Source organism: Homo sapiens, chromosome X, assembly GCF_000001405.40.
Source record: "Homo sapiens chromosome X, GRCh38.p14 Primary Assembly".
In the NCBI taxonomy this organism is placed as follows: domain Eukaryota; kingdom Metazoa; phylum Chordata; class Mammalia; order Primates; family Hominidae; genus Homo; species Homo sapiens.
Genome location: NC_000023.11, coordinates 21,295,740 through 21,312,269, shown reverse-complemented (window position 1 = coordinate 21,312,269; position 16,530 = coordinate 21,295,740). Strand labels below are relative to the sequence as shown.

General features: G+C 34.6%; 1 protein-coding gene across 1 annotated transcript in view; it reads left to right on the top strand.

The window, feature by feature from the left end:
• The window catches only part of LOC105373146 (uncharacterized), a 74,604-nt gene extending 62,153 nt beyond the window's left edge, over positions 1 to 12,451 (top strand). The window contains exons 2-3 of the mRNA XM_047442707.1: positions 11,325 to 11,403; positions 12,104 to 12,451. Of these exons, the coding sequence (XP_047298663.1) occupies positions 11,325 to 11,403; positions 12,104 to 12,238 (214 nt within the window). The 3' untranslated portion in view covers positions 12,239 to 12,451. The remainder of the gene's footprint in view (positions 1 to 11,324; positions 11,404 to 12,103) is intronic.
• Positions 12,452 to 16,530: the final 4,079 nt, after the last annotated feature.

Genomic DNA, 16,530 nt, shown 5'->3' with positions numbered 1-16,530 from the left:
TGGAATGGGAATCTGGGAAATGTAGATTGCAGAATCCATCTTCACAAAACAATGTATAAAGGAATAAATTTGGGACTGAATGACAATAATTAAATAGCCATCATTAATTCAAATGTCTTATGTTAATAAGGGAGAAGCATAGACTCTTCTTCATATTTTTCAGAGAGGATTTATAATGCAGCATAATGTCCCTCTAGCATTACTCAAGCATTGTGTCCCATCTACTGTTACTTTATTTTGAAGGTTCTGCTCTTACTCTTTCTCCCTAGCTCAGCTTAAATTCCCCTTAGTTATTCACCTCTAACTACCAGCCTAGGTCTTCAGCCTAGTGAACAAGTTTCAACTTTCCTTTATAAATGAGCACCTTCTTCCTATACAGTGAAGTTTATACCTGCCAAAATAATGTGACTGATCATAATACCTTAAACATACAAATAAGTGATATTTCCAAACAACTGAAGATTTTTTTTGCTACACATTTTTTTTTGCCCTGTGGCTCTTTATCAGTAGTATCTATAGCCTCAGTAGGGGTATAAATCCAGATTAAATTAAGTTTTCCAATTGGAATAGTCTAGATTATGCTACAGTAATAAAAATCCCTCAAATTTCAGTGGCTTAATCCAGAAAAAGCTTATTTCTTGTTCATACTAGATGTTGAACGTGAACTGATGGGGAGATCTGCTTATTGCAATCAGGGATCCAGTTTGATAGAAGCTCCATCTCAACATGCTTCTATAATTAAGGCTGTTGAAATGGAGCACAGCAAAATGCACACCAGGTCTTATTCCTGCCCAGAAGTGGCATGTTACTTCCTTTTGCATCTCATTGGCCAAAGTAGGCCACATGTTAGGCCTAATATCGAAATGGGTGACTAAGTTTAATGGTACCATATTTCTAAAAGAAATGAAATTTGTGTACAGTTTTAATGAATACCTACATTTTCTTGTTTAACTTATGACAATAATCTTGAAGGCCAAGGCAGGTGCCTGGAATTTTTGTGGAAAAAAGGGGGAGGGATTGAATGTCAAAAGTCTAAAAGACTGTGGACTCAGCATGGAATTTAGCATAAGAGTTGGTTACCACTGACAGAGAAGATGAAATTGATATTGAGATAAAATAAAAAGATGAAAATGAGAGTTAGTTTTGGGTTTGCATTCTTATACACAATGAGGATATGGGACTCTTGTATCCTGCCCCCTCCAAGTTAAGAGGATTGATAAAAACACAGGTAAGTTTGATTGGGCCCAGAATACAGGAAATCTGGGTCGTGATTTTCTGGCAACTGTCCTAGAGATCAGTGTAGCATGGTGCTGATAGGGAAGAGAGTATTGGCTGAGGGGTTTGGCAGGATAGGCAGCCTCACTGAGTCACAAGCATTCCTGCTTGGTGTGGTAAAGCTGCCCAGGATTTCTCTGCATGTTAGCGTGGTTGTAGGGGGCTCTAAATTGCTGACAGGAGTCTGATATCAGACATGGACATAGAATACATGGATAGACCTAACGATCAGGTGTCATGGTGAGCAGGCAGACATCAAAGTTGCCAGCCCACCTTTGAAGAAGACCAAATGACATGGGGTATAACTAAGCAGAGGCCAGTGAAGACAAAGGATAGTTTTTGGATCACATGTACAATATCTCTCTGATACTAAAATCATATTTATATATGTCCCTTCCTTCACCTTCTCCAAGAACTTAGATCATCTCCTTTCATCACTAGCTTCTTTAATCACTCTGAACCAGATGTAAGAAGAAGGGGAAGAGTGAGAATGAAGAACTGAAGTTAAGAAAAATCTGAAAGCAATTGAATTAGCAAGATTAAGTTTTATGCCATCAGTGAAACTGTAGAACTAGAAATCTAGATTCTGTTTAGTTTTAGAAAAGTAAATGAAGTTTCATGTTCACATACTTGAGTTCTGTAACTGTGTGCATTTTTAGCCACTTTATATACACTGTATGTATTATTATGGATATTACCACACATGATCTTATAAAATAAACAGGGCATGTGTTACTTCCCCCATTTTATACAATTTATAGATAGGTAATCTATGGCTCAGAGAGTGTAAAGGACTATGCCATGGACATAAAGCTATAAGTGCTGGAGACTAGACCAGCTCTTAGACACTGAGATTCTTGGAATTTTACTCTCCTTAATTTGGTAATTTTTTATAAAATATACCTTAGAGTTGAGCATAATTTCAAACTTTGAGTAAATCAACTTTGTTTCTTCACCTTGAAAAAAATGTATTTAACTATGAATGGGAAATAACAAAGATTGAAATAAAACATTCAATGATTAAATAAATAAAAATTATAATAATTACCTCTCATTTATAGAATGTGCTATGTTTTTAAAGTGCTAATACTTTTCTACAAGAAAGAATTTAAAGAATCATATATTTAAAAACATTTAAAAATAAATAATACATTCAGATGGTCCAAAATTCAAATGTTATGAAATAATATATGGTGAAAAGCAAGTCTCTCTCCAACCCTTCACCAGCCACCAAATTCCTTCCTCAGCGATAATAGCTGTTATCAGTTATTTGTGTTTCCTTCCAGAGAAATGCATGTACAGCATACAGGTATAAAATATGTCATGGAAGTTTAAACATAAGCCTCAGAAATAATAAATATTATGCTACAGCATCTTTTCCCACCTGTCTTCTATTATTCAGTTGCATATAGAACATTCCTTCCATTAGACTACCAACTTCTCAGGAGCAAATAGAGTATTACTCATCTATCTTTGATGCTGGTTAACATATATTTTTGCCATTATAGGAAATATTTATTCAATTAACTTTGGGAGAATTTAGACAAAATAACTTATTGCCTGGAAATGTTTGAGGAGGTCATATCATGTAGGATAGTAACTAGATATTTGCTTAGTCCATGGTATATGTAATGATGATATAAGACTACATATATAATTGGCATATTTTCATTGTCTCTATTCCCGCTGCTGCTGTCCTATTTCAGGCCTTATTACTTCTCACTTTAGGTAAGGTAAACTAACAGGCCACCCTTTCTCTATCCTCTTCCATTCTTCTCTCTATTCTGTACCTCTTCCATGAATTCCCTATACACTGCTGCCAATGTATCCCCCTAAAACTACAATTTTAATCATGTAACTTTATAACCCTGCTCCTAAATTCCAGTTGTTCCCACAATTCATCTATGTAAAGTTTAAAATCCTTTGTATAGCAAGCCATTTCCAATTTTACTTGAAATTACTTTTCTAGTGTTATCTTCAGAACATATATGCCATTTACACCAAATTGTACTACTTACTTTTCCACCAAACAAAAGTTAAGGTCCAGTATTATGTAAGATGATATAATGATTTTTTCAAAAAAATTAATCTTTCTTCTCAATAAAGTGTGTTTCTTTATACTTCTAGTTTAACTTTCTTCATATTTCACTATATAGGTAGCAGAAAGAAAAGTTAAACACTTCAACTGAGATGTAGAAAAAATAATGCACATACCTTTATTTGCATTATTTTTTCTACATCTTAGTTGAAGTGTTTGAAGTTGAAATCATATACCAGTGTGATCAGAGGCTTATAAATGACTCAATTTTACTTTTAAAAAACAGTGTAAATTCCCCTGGCCTTAACATGTTTTTGTAAAGAAAAAGAATAATACTCTTAAATAAGTGAAACATTCTTTTTCTATGGAGATGTACTAGGTTTTCTGTTGACTTTTACTCTTTATCACATTTCTGTGTGTACTCCTCCTCAGATTTGAGCAGTTCCTCATACAGGTTTAAAAATTTGTCTAGAGAAGATTTATTTCCAAAACTTAATGAACATTAGGCTTGGAAAGCCATTTGTCAATTCAGTGGTGAAACGATGGCACTCTCAATGTTTTGCAAATTTTCTTTCACCTTATCTTAAATTTCTTTGAATTAGTAGTGAGGTGATTTTGCTATGCCTGTGAGCTGAGTCGCTCTTAAACAACAACAACAATAACAAATAAACAAAACTAAAAGTAAACTGTAATTTCTGTGGATTTTAGAAAAGCTCAAAATTTGCTTCTTTTATTTCCTCCCTACGATAATTATATTTAAGGCATTTTTCCCTGTCAGATGATCTCAGTGGTAGGTACCTTCAAAAGCACAGAAAGATATATTTCCATATGCTTTGACCTGTAAGTATGGATAGGTTATTTTTCTCTATACATCCATCAACAGTTGAAAAAATGAATAAATTCTGGTACATTTATAACTGAAATACTATATAGCAAGGAGTATGAGTCAGTCATTCTTATACCCAACATGCGTTTATCTCGCAAACTCCTCAGCTTGAGAAATACTATAGGATTACCAGTACCTTATAGGCCTGACATATACCTTCCCTGAATATATATATTTTTCCCTTCAGAGGAACCCCTTTGTATTAATACCCTTGGAATTAATCATCCCTTGGACATAGGTGGGATATATAAATAGGAGCATAATTCCTAGGTCATAAATTTAGGTATCTTATAAAGAAATCCTGCTGCTGCATGACACTCTCTTCCATTGGTACCTTCTGCCCTAGAAGTGGTAGAAGCTTCCTGCTCTTACGTCCTCCCAAACCTTCCTGCTGTTTGGCTTGTCAGCTATTCCAATACCTTTGCTATTTGTCTTTATATTAAACTCCCTCTTTGAACTTTTTGGCATGGGCTCTGTTTCCTGACTGGACCCTGACTGATATACATCATATTTCTTTCTATTTCTTTATCATGTGAATCAGGATCTCCAATACCATCACATTTCATGAGGAAGTTTAAGACCTCATTGACTGTAAGATTTATTCTTATTTTATGTACCACTTCCTAGGAAAAATGCAGCACAATTAAACTGTGACCCTGTACTTTCTTCTGAATTTTTATTTTACATTTTTATTGAAAGCATATTCATTTAGAGTTAATTAGACACAGGTTTCTATTATATATTATATGCATAATACAAAGAAAATCCTGATGAACAAATGGTTAAGGTCTTCCAAAATTCTTTATATTAAGAGGATAACTCTTCTCGATAACTTTTTATGTAACAGTGGTAAAACTGTATGCTTTCTCACACAGTATTATAATTTGGTCATCAGGAATGTTAGTAAAGTCAAAATTTTTTAAAAAATCCATAAAATAACTAAAAGTCATTGTTGCTGTGCTTGTTAGCTAGGTTAACATTGATATTAGAAATAAGAAATTATTCATAAAAGCAACAAATACTATAAAGTAGTTGAGATTCAACTTAGCTAGAAGTACTTCACGAATAACTCATCTATTTATTTCTGCTTTGGGAATTTTCAGAAATACTCTTATTCCATACTTCCCCCTGTACAACCATTCAGTTTGGAAGGGTTAAAAGAGTGTTTTACTATTGCCTGTAGGATTTTCTTCCAAGTCTCTGACTCTCTTTCTATAAAATTTGATGTTGGACTTTTTGGTATTCATACATGAATAAGGAATCACAGCTATATTCCAACTACTGCCAGTTTGATATACATTATTAAATACTTGAATTGTGAAATTCACTTCAATTTCAGAGATGTATAACCTGAAAATATGTGTATTTTGGAATTGATGAGATTGATAGTTTTACCTTGAGTTTTATTTTTATCTGTGAGAATTCTTTGCACCTGAGTTGATGTTGCCTTATTATAAAGAGGATTTGCCAGTTGCCTAGAGCCACTTCCAGCCTTGAAGCACTTTAAATTATATTCTTTGTTCAAGATATTTTCTGGCCATGCAGGTAGTATGAATTTGGACTATAAATTCCTGGGAGGAACCAGCTTGTGGTTATAAATGAGTATTCTTAGGGGAGATTTTTTTTTTCCATTCTATTCAGTATCAAGGTCGAGATCAGCAAGTTTTATTTTTTATTTTTTTTGCTGTTCCTTCTGTACATTGTTCTTTGTATTGTTTGGCTTTCATTTGATTTGATGTTTCTTTCCTATTTACCCTTACACCTTTGAGTCTCATCTTTATGAGGGGTTTTCTTTTGTATTCCACACCTTGGGCAGCTAGGCTTTATCTGTTGATTCCCGTTTCATATCCACACAGTTATCATTGCAGAAGCTGAAATCTCCAGGATTTCACAAAATGTCTCAGGGTGAGGCTGACTTTGGTGTTGACTTATCTCCTAGGTTTCACTTTGACTTCAGCATAATTCTTCCTTTTGAGTCAGCACAGCAGTACGTTAAAAAAAAAAGTGTTCTTTTTTGATTGAGACAATGATTAGGGTAACTAGTCTGCTATCTGACTACCCTGGGAACTCATTCATTCATTCATTCATTCATTCAGGATGATAGCTTTAAGATGAAAACAAAGTGTCTGTCATTATACAATTACAGTAGTGACACCTTAACTATTCTGAGAAATAACTGTTTCATGTATTTCATTAATTTGAAGGACTACCTTAGCCTTATTCTTTTCTTCCTAAGTTCTAGCTTGGATATCAAAGTCATTGATGGAAATAGAAAATCTTGAGACAAGAAATTTCAAAATTTTTTTGAGTTGAAATTTATGAAGGCAGTCCCAAGTCTTTATTCTCAAATAATCTCTCTGGTTTTCATAACTGATTTTAACATTTGGAGTCAATTAACATTTTCTGAGACAGAAGAGATGGTCAGTACTATCACAATTTTTGTTTATATTAATTATCACATCTTTAAAAGTCTTTTGGTTTATAGTTTGCAGTAAGTCAGACTACATACTGTCCATTATAAAATTGCCACATCCCTCAGAATACCTTTCTTAAATGGAACAATTAGCAGAATCTGGCTTAATAAATAATTCTACCTAATGTCAGTCATACTAAGAAGGTTTATTCTATCACGTATTATTCAAATGGATATGCAACCACAAATTATAATGATGAGGCAGCATAACTGTGAAATGTGAGATATCAAGAGAGACAGATAAATCTGGGTTGTTGCAATTAGACGTATGGAAAGATTTTTGTGTACTGGTTTGATTCTTTGATTGGCTAGGTGTAGAATTCTAGGCTTGATTATTTTAAACATGCATAAGGAAAGTGATGGGTCTTAGGCTGTACCTACATGGAGTGAAAAGCACAGTCACCCAGAAGTGAGTACAAATATTGTATTTCTGAATGGTCAATATGTTTACTTTGAGACACACTGCATGGTTAAACTAGGCAGTGAAAGTAGATAAAATTTGTAGCGCTGTTTGCTGACTCATGGCATGCTATTTCCATAAGTAGATATGTTAGTTAAAGAGACAGCTGTGAATAGCAATAGGTTCTGCATTTATGATTAGATTAGGTTAAATCATTTTGTTATTTGCTCTTCCTCTTTTAGTATACTCGTCAAGCTTATAATAATGTATTACCACTTTTCCCATTGACAGTAAAATCTATGAGGGGAGATCATTTGGCTATTCTCTCTGTAGCTCACTGACTGTCAGATTGCTGTTTTTTGAGTGTATACATATGTGTATATATATATATATACACATATGTGTATATATATACACACACATATATACACATATGTGTATATATATACACACACACATCTATATATACACACGTGTACACACATATATATATATACACACGTGTACACACATATATACACATATATGTGTGTGAATTACATATACACATAAATATACATCCATATGTTTGTTTACATTTTAAAATTCATTTGTTACAGCTGAAAATTGAAGAACAGTTTTTGTAGACCCTAGCCAGAGAAAGTACTGTTTATCAAGCATTGTTTCTTTTTCTGAACGCTGCCCCCTCCCCAACATACACAGTTAAAAACAATGAGCATGATTGTCATTCAGTTCAGAAAACAAGACAAAACACTCAGTTTTGATTTTTCAATGTTAGGGATAAATTTGTACTAGCATGGGAAGATCCTCAGCTTTGCCATTAAAGGACTTGCAGTTTCAAACCAGAAAAGCAGAAGGTAACTCTAAGCATAGACTATTTTCCATTTCCAATCCTTAGTTCTCTCACCATAGAATAAAACATTCAAAGAATATACATCTGGCAGCAAAGTAAATGCCATTTGGTTGATGACATAATTTCCCTATTAGGCAAAAATTCTAAAGGAAATTGGTCTGGTCTGAAGTAAACTTTTAAAGAAATTAACAGACCTGTTAATCTTTACCATCATTCTGGGAATTTTCTTATTTTCTCTCCTGCGCAGATTCATTTCTTGGACCGCATGTCTTTCTCTTTCCTGGTTTATTCCTCTGCTTTGGTGGTGCATACCCTCTGGTAGCTTTTGGAAAAAGGGCACATGAGAGGTTAATTTTTTGAGTTCTTACATGTCTGAAAATATCTTTATACAACTGTCACATTTGATTTGCTATGCATAGAATTCGAGGTTGGAAATAATCTTTCTTCAGAATTTTGAAAGCAATGTCTTCTAGCTGCCAGTGTTGTTTTAAGAACTGCAACACCATTCTAAATTTCTAAATTCTGATTTTTTGTAAGTAAGTACACTGTATTTTCCCCTTGAAGCTTGAGAAATCATCCTTTTATCCCCAATGTTTTGAAATTGTTCTATAACATGCTTTGATAAAGGTCTCATATACTGTGTTGAGCACTTGTTGGATACTTATCACTCTAGAAATGTGTGTTCTTCAGTTGTGGGAAATTTTTTCGTATTATTTGTTTGATCAATTTTTTCTCCTCTGTTTTCTTTCTTCTCTCTTTCTGAATCTCCTAATTTTTCCATAGTAGGGTTTTGGCATAGAATCTCTTTCTTTTTATGGAGTAAAAGTAATGTTTATCTGAGTCTCCCTTATAATCCTATCACTTAGTGAGAAACTCTTTTAATATTTTGCTATGAAAATTATACTGTGTGTGCGTGCGTGTGTGTTTAGTCATACCATGTATAATACTTTGCTATTCAATAAAAATGTATCTTGGACATTTTCAAAGTCTCTATTTTTAAGATGACTGCACAATATTCAATTTTATGAATGTACTATTATTTAATTATTCCTTTATTGAAGGTTATTTAAGATTTTAGTATTTTATTTATATAAAAATCTACAGTGAAAAATTCTTATATATATATATCTGTGTACACTTATATGATTGTATCTGTGGGATAATATTCTGGAATTGCTATAATTAGGTCAGTGAATAAAGTACTAGATTTTAGGTTTATAGCATACATTTTATAATAATTTAATAGTCACTTTGTTGCTTTAATTGCTATCTAGGATGTCATCAGAATTGCTTTTTTCTTGTAATTAGGATTGTACTTTTTCCTGATTTCTTATTGCACAACAAGCAGTTGCAATAGTAATAATCTTGATTGGTTATGAATCAACTTAAGGGCCTGCAGAATGTTTATAAATAAAGAGAAAGAGAGACCAAATAAGTCATGACATGACTAACTCATTGTCCTAATGGCATGAACTTTACTATCAAAAATGTACAAATTTTACATATCCCATTTAGCTACTTCATTGGCCCAGAAATAAAACACACAGATTTGTCAAGATAACAGGAATAAGGATTGTCTGTTTCCCAGATTACTCCCCAGAAAAGGATGTGTCAGAAGTTGTGAATAATTGCTGTGCAGATGTGTAGAAAGCTTGCTTTTCCTAGGGTGTTAAGACATCATTCACAGAACCAAGGTTGTTCCTGACTTCAGAAAATCCTAGTCTGTCTCAGGGATTTTTGGGTAGATGACATCCTATACTCATATGCCAGGAACTCTAGTCCCCGTTAGTCTATTTTATCATTTCTAAAATATGTGTAGAGTACTAAAGTACTTATATGTATTATTTGAGAAATAACTAATGAACATGATTGTCCAACATGCTGAAAGCATAAAGGGCTATATAGAAACAAACAAACAAATTTCTTCTAAATTAAACCTTATTCTCTTTAGAATGCGAGAAACAATCAACTATATATATTTCACTTGGCACTTGGTTGACTGTAGCTTTCAACAAATATTAAACAGTAATTGTCATTGTTATACATGTATTTTTGTGTTCAGAAACATGTTTGAGAATAACTAAGCTCAAGAAATTAAAGAAAACATACAGAGTCCTATTTAATATCACTCGAATTATAAAATATAGCAAACTTTAGAAGTGAATAATAAGAGGTAGTGGCTGAAAATGAGCATAGATAGCACAAAACTTATTAATTACAATCATAGTGGATTATCAGGGCAGATTAGGATCAACTGGGAACATGTTTCTTATATTTTGAGGATGATGACCTAAAAATACCCAAACGTTCCATCTTGCCTGTGCCAGAGAGAAAGTGCACAGTTTTCTGGACCTTCTAAGTCCTTTGGCTGTTTCTTTGCCTGATCATTTTCTTCATTTAGAATAAATGACCTATATAATGTTTATTCCATGAGTATTCCATACTCTTGATGAAAAAAAAAAACTTCCCTTACTCCTTCTTGATATTTACTTTTTCATTTCCTGCCTCTCTCTAGAGCCCAGAGACCCAAGTTCAGGCTCCACTCTGCTATTGACTTGCTCCACTTGTCATTGTAACTCTCTAGGCTTTATTGTCATTATCTCTTTAATAAGATATTTAAAGAAAATGATCAGTATGGTCTCTTCCAGTTTTATATTTTGACATTATAAAAAGGTAAATCCCTCCATAACCCTTCAGTGGCTTTCTGCTGTGCTAACAATAAAATCAAACCTTTCTTCCATGGTCTATAAGACTTTATATAATCAGCCATGCCTGTATCTCCTACTTCCATTTCATGCCACAACACCACAAGCCAGCCGCATGAGTTTCCTATTCTTTTAAGAATCAGCTCAAATATTACCTTCTCAGAAAAGTTTCCTTGACTCCTTTATTTACTTAAGCCACCTTTTAAATTTCTCTCAAACTCTTTATCACAACCAGTTATTATCTTTGTTTGTTTCTTCTCATGCCAGATTAAGATGCTCCATAGTGATGGCACCTGGTTTATCTTATTTATCATTGTATTTTCAGTGCCAGCACACTACCTGGCACATAAAACATATTAAAAAATACTTGCTAAATGTTTGTTGTTGGAAAGAGACTGATATGTATAGAAATGATATATGAACTAAAAAGAAGGGACAAAGGGGCCCTGTGGTATGTTGTAGTGTTTACAATTGTCAGTAAAACCCTGTAGTCTATTCATAACAACCATATAGCCAAACAGTCCATCTAAATTGACATCCTAGGCAGCTCTGGTATAAACCATATGAGAAATTGCAACATTTGATGGCTTTTTCTCAGGAAGATAGTCCTGTTGAGAGGCTTGAGAGTGCCTTGGTGTATTTATAGGGCCTCATTGTTCTCTAACCAGGGATTTCTTCCTTTATCTCTTCTCAGATTAGACTCCAGAGATAATGATATTAGGAAATCCAAACTGAAATGGACCCCAGAGCAATTGAAGAAAGAAAGAGTCAAGGTGAGGCTTTATCAAATAATTTATTACTGAGCTTTCTGATTTTGTTGTTGTTGTTACAATAGTGCTAGTGTATAGGACTAGAAAAAAGTTTTTTAAAAAAACAGAATTTACCATTTAGTCAAGTGTCTATGTGATTTGGCCCAAACCCTAGGAGTAAAGAAGTTAATAACCTTTTCAAAAGTAATAAAACCAAACACACGCATGCACACACACACACACACACACACACACACATATAATCAAACCTATTATTATAGAATATCTTTAGATAAATAGATTTTCTCCAAAAAGTGTACCCACAACATTTACAGCATACAACTAAAATAAGTCCACAATACTTTGTCTATTGTAATGAGAACTAAATGGGCACCAAAGATGGCTGGATTGATCTCAGAGAAAAGGTATTTTTCTTTTTCCCTAGATATCCAACAGGAAGTGTTTCATTTTAATATTGACTTTGCACTACCCACATTTATATGGATAAATATGATGGATTGTTATGAAATTCTTATCATAGCTATTTTTCCTACTTTGAACAAAGTGACCTTTCTCATTCACATTCACCTGCTGTCTTCCATGTGTCACAGAGGAATCTACTGCCATGTGAAAAATGAGCCATTTATCCAAAGAAAATTGCAGCCTGCTAAGACCCATTCTTCTTTAACTTAACCCATATTACCATGGTATGATACCCCCGCAGGGAGGATCCCAACGTGGCAGGGAGGCTTGCAAGGGGAGGCCGAGGCACTGGTGCAAGCAAACTATAATGACTAAGGTGAGATTGTTTACTCAGGCAACATATGCAGATGCATCTTATTTATACTTCTTATTGTAAATAATAGTCATGTTAATCAAAGAACACCATAAAATTTGAATTGCTCTGTGTTATGCGTAAGATGGACATCATACTTACCACATGCTTATCCATAGTGTGGGGAACCATGGTATGATACCAGTTGGAAGACAAAGGTGCCATGGTTGGAAACAAAACCCTAAATTGCAAGGAGGAAACAATTGCCTGAAAAGAGACTCCAGATGAGCCCTATAACTAAAGCAGTTTTGAGTGTATAAGATATATACAAATATGAGCCTGTAGTCACAGCTACCTAGGAGGCTGAGGCTGGAGGATTGCATGAGCTCAGGAGTTAGAGCTGCAGTGAGCTATGATTGTGCCACTGCACTCTGGCCTGGGCAATAGAGGCCCCCTCATCTCTAAAAAACAAATAAATGAAAGAAAAATAAAGAAAGAAAGAAAGAGAGAAAGAGAGAGAGAGAAAGAAAGAAAGAAGAAATAGTTACACAATTCGTTATAGATTTTAAAGTTCTTTGATATTCATTCTCTCATTTGAAGTTCATTAGCTGGGGAGTTAACAGGGCAGTCATATGATTTTTTTTAGTGATGAAACAAATGTATTGCTTTTTTTTTTTTTTTTTTTTTTTTTTTTTACAGAGTCTCACTCTGTCACCCAGGCTGGAGTGTAATGGTGCAATCTTGGCTCACTGCAACTTCCTTCTCCTGGATTCAATCATTTCTCCTGCCTCAGCCTCCCAAGTAGCTGGGATTACAGGCACCTGCCATCACGCCCAGCTAATTTTTGTATTTTTAGTAGAGATGGGGTTTCACCATGGTGGCCAGTCTGGTCTCAAACTCCCAACCTCAAATGATCCACCACCTCGGCCTCCCAAAGTGCTGGGATTACAGGCATGAGCCACCGCGCCCGGCGAAATGTATTGCTCTTAAGAGACACTCAATTATTGGGTAGTGAAAGTAAGGCGACACTTCACTTTGGCATTTACTGATATGTTTACATTATAACATAATTAAAGAGCTCTCCACTGATTTATTTTCTATATGTCTGGGTAGAAGGATGACGACCATGAGCAAATACATTTTGACTCTGCTCTTTTGGTATTTTGACTGACTACACATAATATTAGAAATTTTGTGTTGGCTATATAAAATACGTTATTACAAGAATTCAAGGTAGCTTCATGAAGGTTATCTAATACATTTTGTTATTTTTCAAGTATCAATTTGACTCCTATCCACCTTAGTTTAAAAGTTTACATTTTATTTCATATTCGGCACATATCTAACTAAGTTTAAAGTGAATGCAAGCATGGTATAGGGCATAAGTTATTTAAAAGGAAGCCATTTGTCATTGCAGTGAAATTAGGTCATGGGATTTGTGGCAGCTGTCAGTTCAAGGAAGTGCTGCCCACTTATTTTACCTTTGAATCGTTTCATTTTTCTATGTTCACACCTCCATTATTCATGCTTATTCCCAGGTACTAGCTGCTATTTTGTTCCACAATAAGGGACATAGTTTTCAACTTTCTCTACTTCTAGAAGGTACACTTTCAGGCCGGGCACAGTGGCTCACTCCTGTAATCCCAGCACTTTGGGAGGCTGAGGCGGGCAAATCACTTGAGGTCAGGAGTTCGAGATCAGCCTGGCTAATATAATGAAACCCCATCTCTACTAAAAATACAAAAATTAGCCAGGTGTGGTGGTAGATGCCTGTAATCCCAGCTATTTGGGAGGCTGAGACTGAAGAATCACTTGAACCTGGGAGGCAGAGGTTGCAGTGAGCTGAGATAGCACCACTGCACGCGACAGCAGGAGATTCTGTCTCAAAACAAACAAACAGCAACAACAACAAAAAAACAAAATCAGAAGGCACACTTTCTTGTAAGTCAGTTTATGAACAAAAATGATCGATGTTTATTATTATAGTGAAATCAATACTCTGATTTCTTTCAAAAAGTTAATTAAGACCAATTCTTTGTACCCTGATAATTAAAAACTCACTTTTTAAAATTCAACAGAAACATTAACACATTCCTTTGATCATCTTTAAGCAGCTTTCAGCCATAATATTTTAAATTGTATGAACATCTCATAGGGTAATAAGACACTTAAATTTGTTAGTATTTCTTATATTTTAATGAAATATTAACAATGACAGCCCCCCACATTTCTTTTAACATTCATTAGGTCACTTAGGCCATATAGTGTGTGAAGAAATAATTATCAAAACACTGTCTGTTACTCAACATGAAAAACATTCTGATTCAAATTTAATCAAACAATTATTGAGGACAATGCTAAGGGAATGAGATGTATCTCTTTATTTGTGAAGACTCTAAAAATAGCCTCTTTGCTGTGGCTAGGAATGCTTTATCCAAGGATGGTCCAAGAAACTCAAGAGAAGACTCAAGAAAACCTGTGCTTTTAGTAGCTTAATGAAAGGGCAGAGCCTTTACTTGAAGAACTATAATTATAAAGACCTACAATTATCCTGCTAAATCAGGATGGGGAATTCTCAGCACCTCACAGTAATTATCTAGAGGTCTGAAAGACCAAGAACACCTGGAGACTCCAAGAAGGTACATGACCTGAGGCAGGGTGAGCTTCATGAGGGTGTGAGCTATGCAGTTGCACAGGGCCAAAGACTCAGAAGAGCCCCATACATGGTTTAATGTTCTGCTTTTGCTTTTTTTGAATGCTTACTAATTTTTCAACAAAGGGCTCCACATTTTCATTTTGTTCTGGGCCCTGCAAATACGTAGTCAGTCCTGACTCAAGGCCATGTGAGAGAGTAGTACTTGGATGAGGTACTTGGATAGTGAGAAAGACTCATGCTAGCAGTTTTGCCAGCTGGGTACACTGAACAAACCAGAGTAAAGAGCAGTACAAACTGGGCATTTTTAGGAGGGTAATACTGATTTGGAGAATAGTGAATATTTTGGGGGGACTCGTGAAGAGAAAAGGGGCAAGAATGAAGAAGGATGTTCCCTTTTGGTAACTTGTGTCCTACATTATTTTAAATATATTTTCCAACTGGCTTTCAATATCACCATTTTCCAAACATTTGTAATTGCCCACTCCTATCAAGTGTAAACATGCATTCCTCCAATACAAGTTTCCTGTTTATTAACTTAAAACTTACATACTGTATTACTATAAAATGGTTATTTATCAACGTTATCCAATAGAAATATAGTGTGATCCACAAATGAGAAGCACGTATGTAATTTAAAATACATATGTAGTAGCTAAATTTTAAAAAAGAAGCAAGTGGAATTAACTTTAATAATGCTCTTTAATTAAGCCAATATATAAAAATATTATTTCAACAGGACATAAATGTAAAAATCATAATGAAATATTTTACTTTAAAAATTTTAAGTCTTTAAAATTTCTTGTACATTTTAAACTGGTGTCTTATTTCAGACTTGCCATGTTTCAAGTATTCAATAGCTATGTGTGGCTAATGGCTACTACATTCAATACTGCAGTTTTATATATTTTAAAATATATAAAATATAAGTTAGAGATCTATGAGAACAAAATAAAAGTTCTAAATTTTAATGTTTTCTTCCCATATCCTAGTGGATGGCCTTTCAGATCCCCTGGGTGTGGAAATCTCACATTGAAAACTAGTGGTCTAGAATAATGAGGATTTTTCAAGTTTTTAGGTATGACAATTCTAAAAGATGAAGTGATATTTTTATACCGTGATTAGCACTGACTTAAGTATAACACACACACACGCGTGCACACACACACAACATGCGCACACACACACACACACACACACGCACACACACACATTTCCTTCAAGAGAGGAGAACCTCAGCCCTACTCCTCGATAGAACGCTTATCAACTTTCACATTGAAGAAGAGTATGTGGGTTGGGATATATTCTGGCAGCTATCTTTGGAAACTACAGTCTGCCACAATTACTTACCACTGTGTAAAGCTGAAGCTCTAAGAAACTACACTATACTGACCCCTCAAGCATAGAGCTCCATTACTTCTATGCAGATCACATTTCTGTTTGGGAAGCTCAGAAACAGATGTGAGAAAACTCGAATATTAGTTAGGATCCATCAGTTCATGGAAGACTTTTTGTGCCATGCCATGAAACTTGAACTTTATCTCATTTGGTGATTATTTTCAGCCAGGGAATAGCATAATCAGAGTTGTGTTTTCAAATAGGTTCCTTTGACTGCAGCAGGAGGATGGATTTAAGAGGCCAACACAGGGCCTAGGGCAAGTAGAAAACAAACTAGTGTATTAAAACAATGATCTCAGCTTGCTCACCAAATCTCATCAGATAC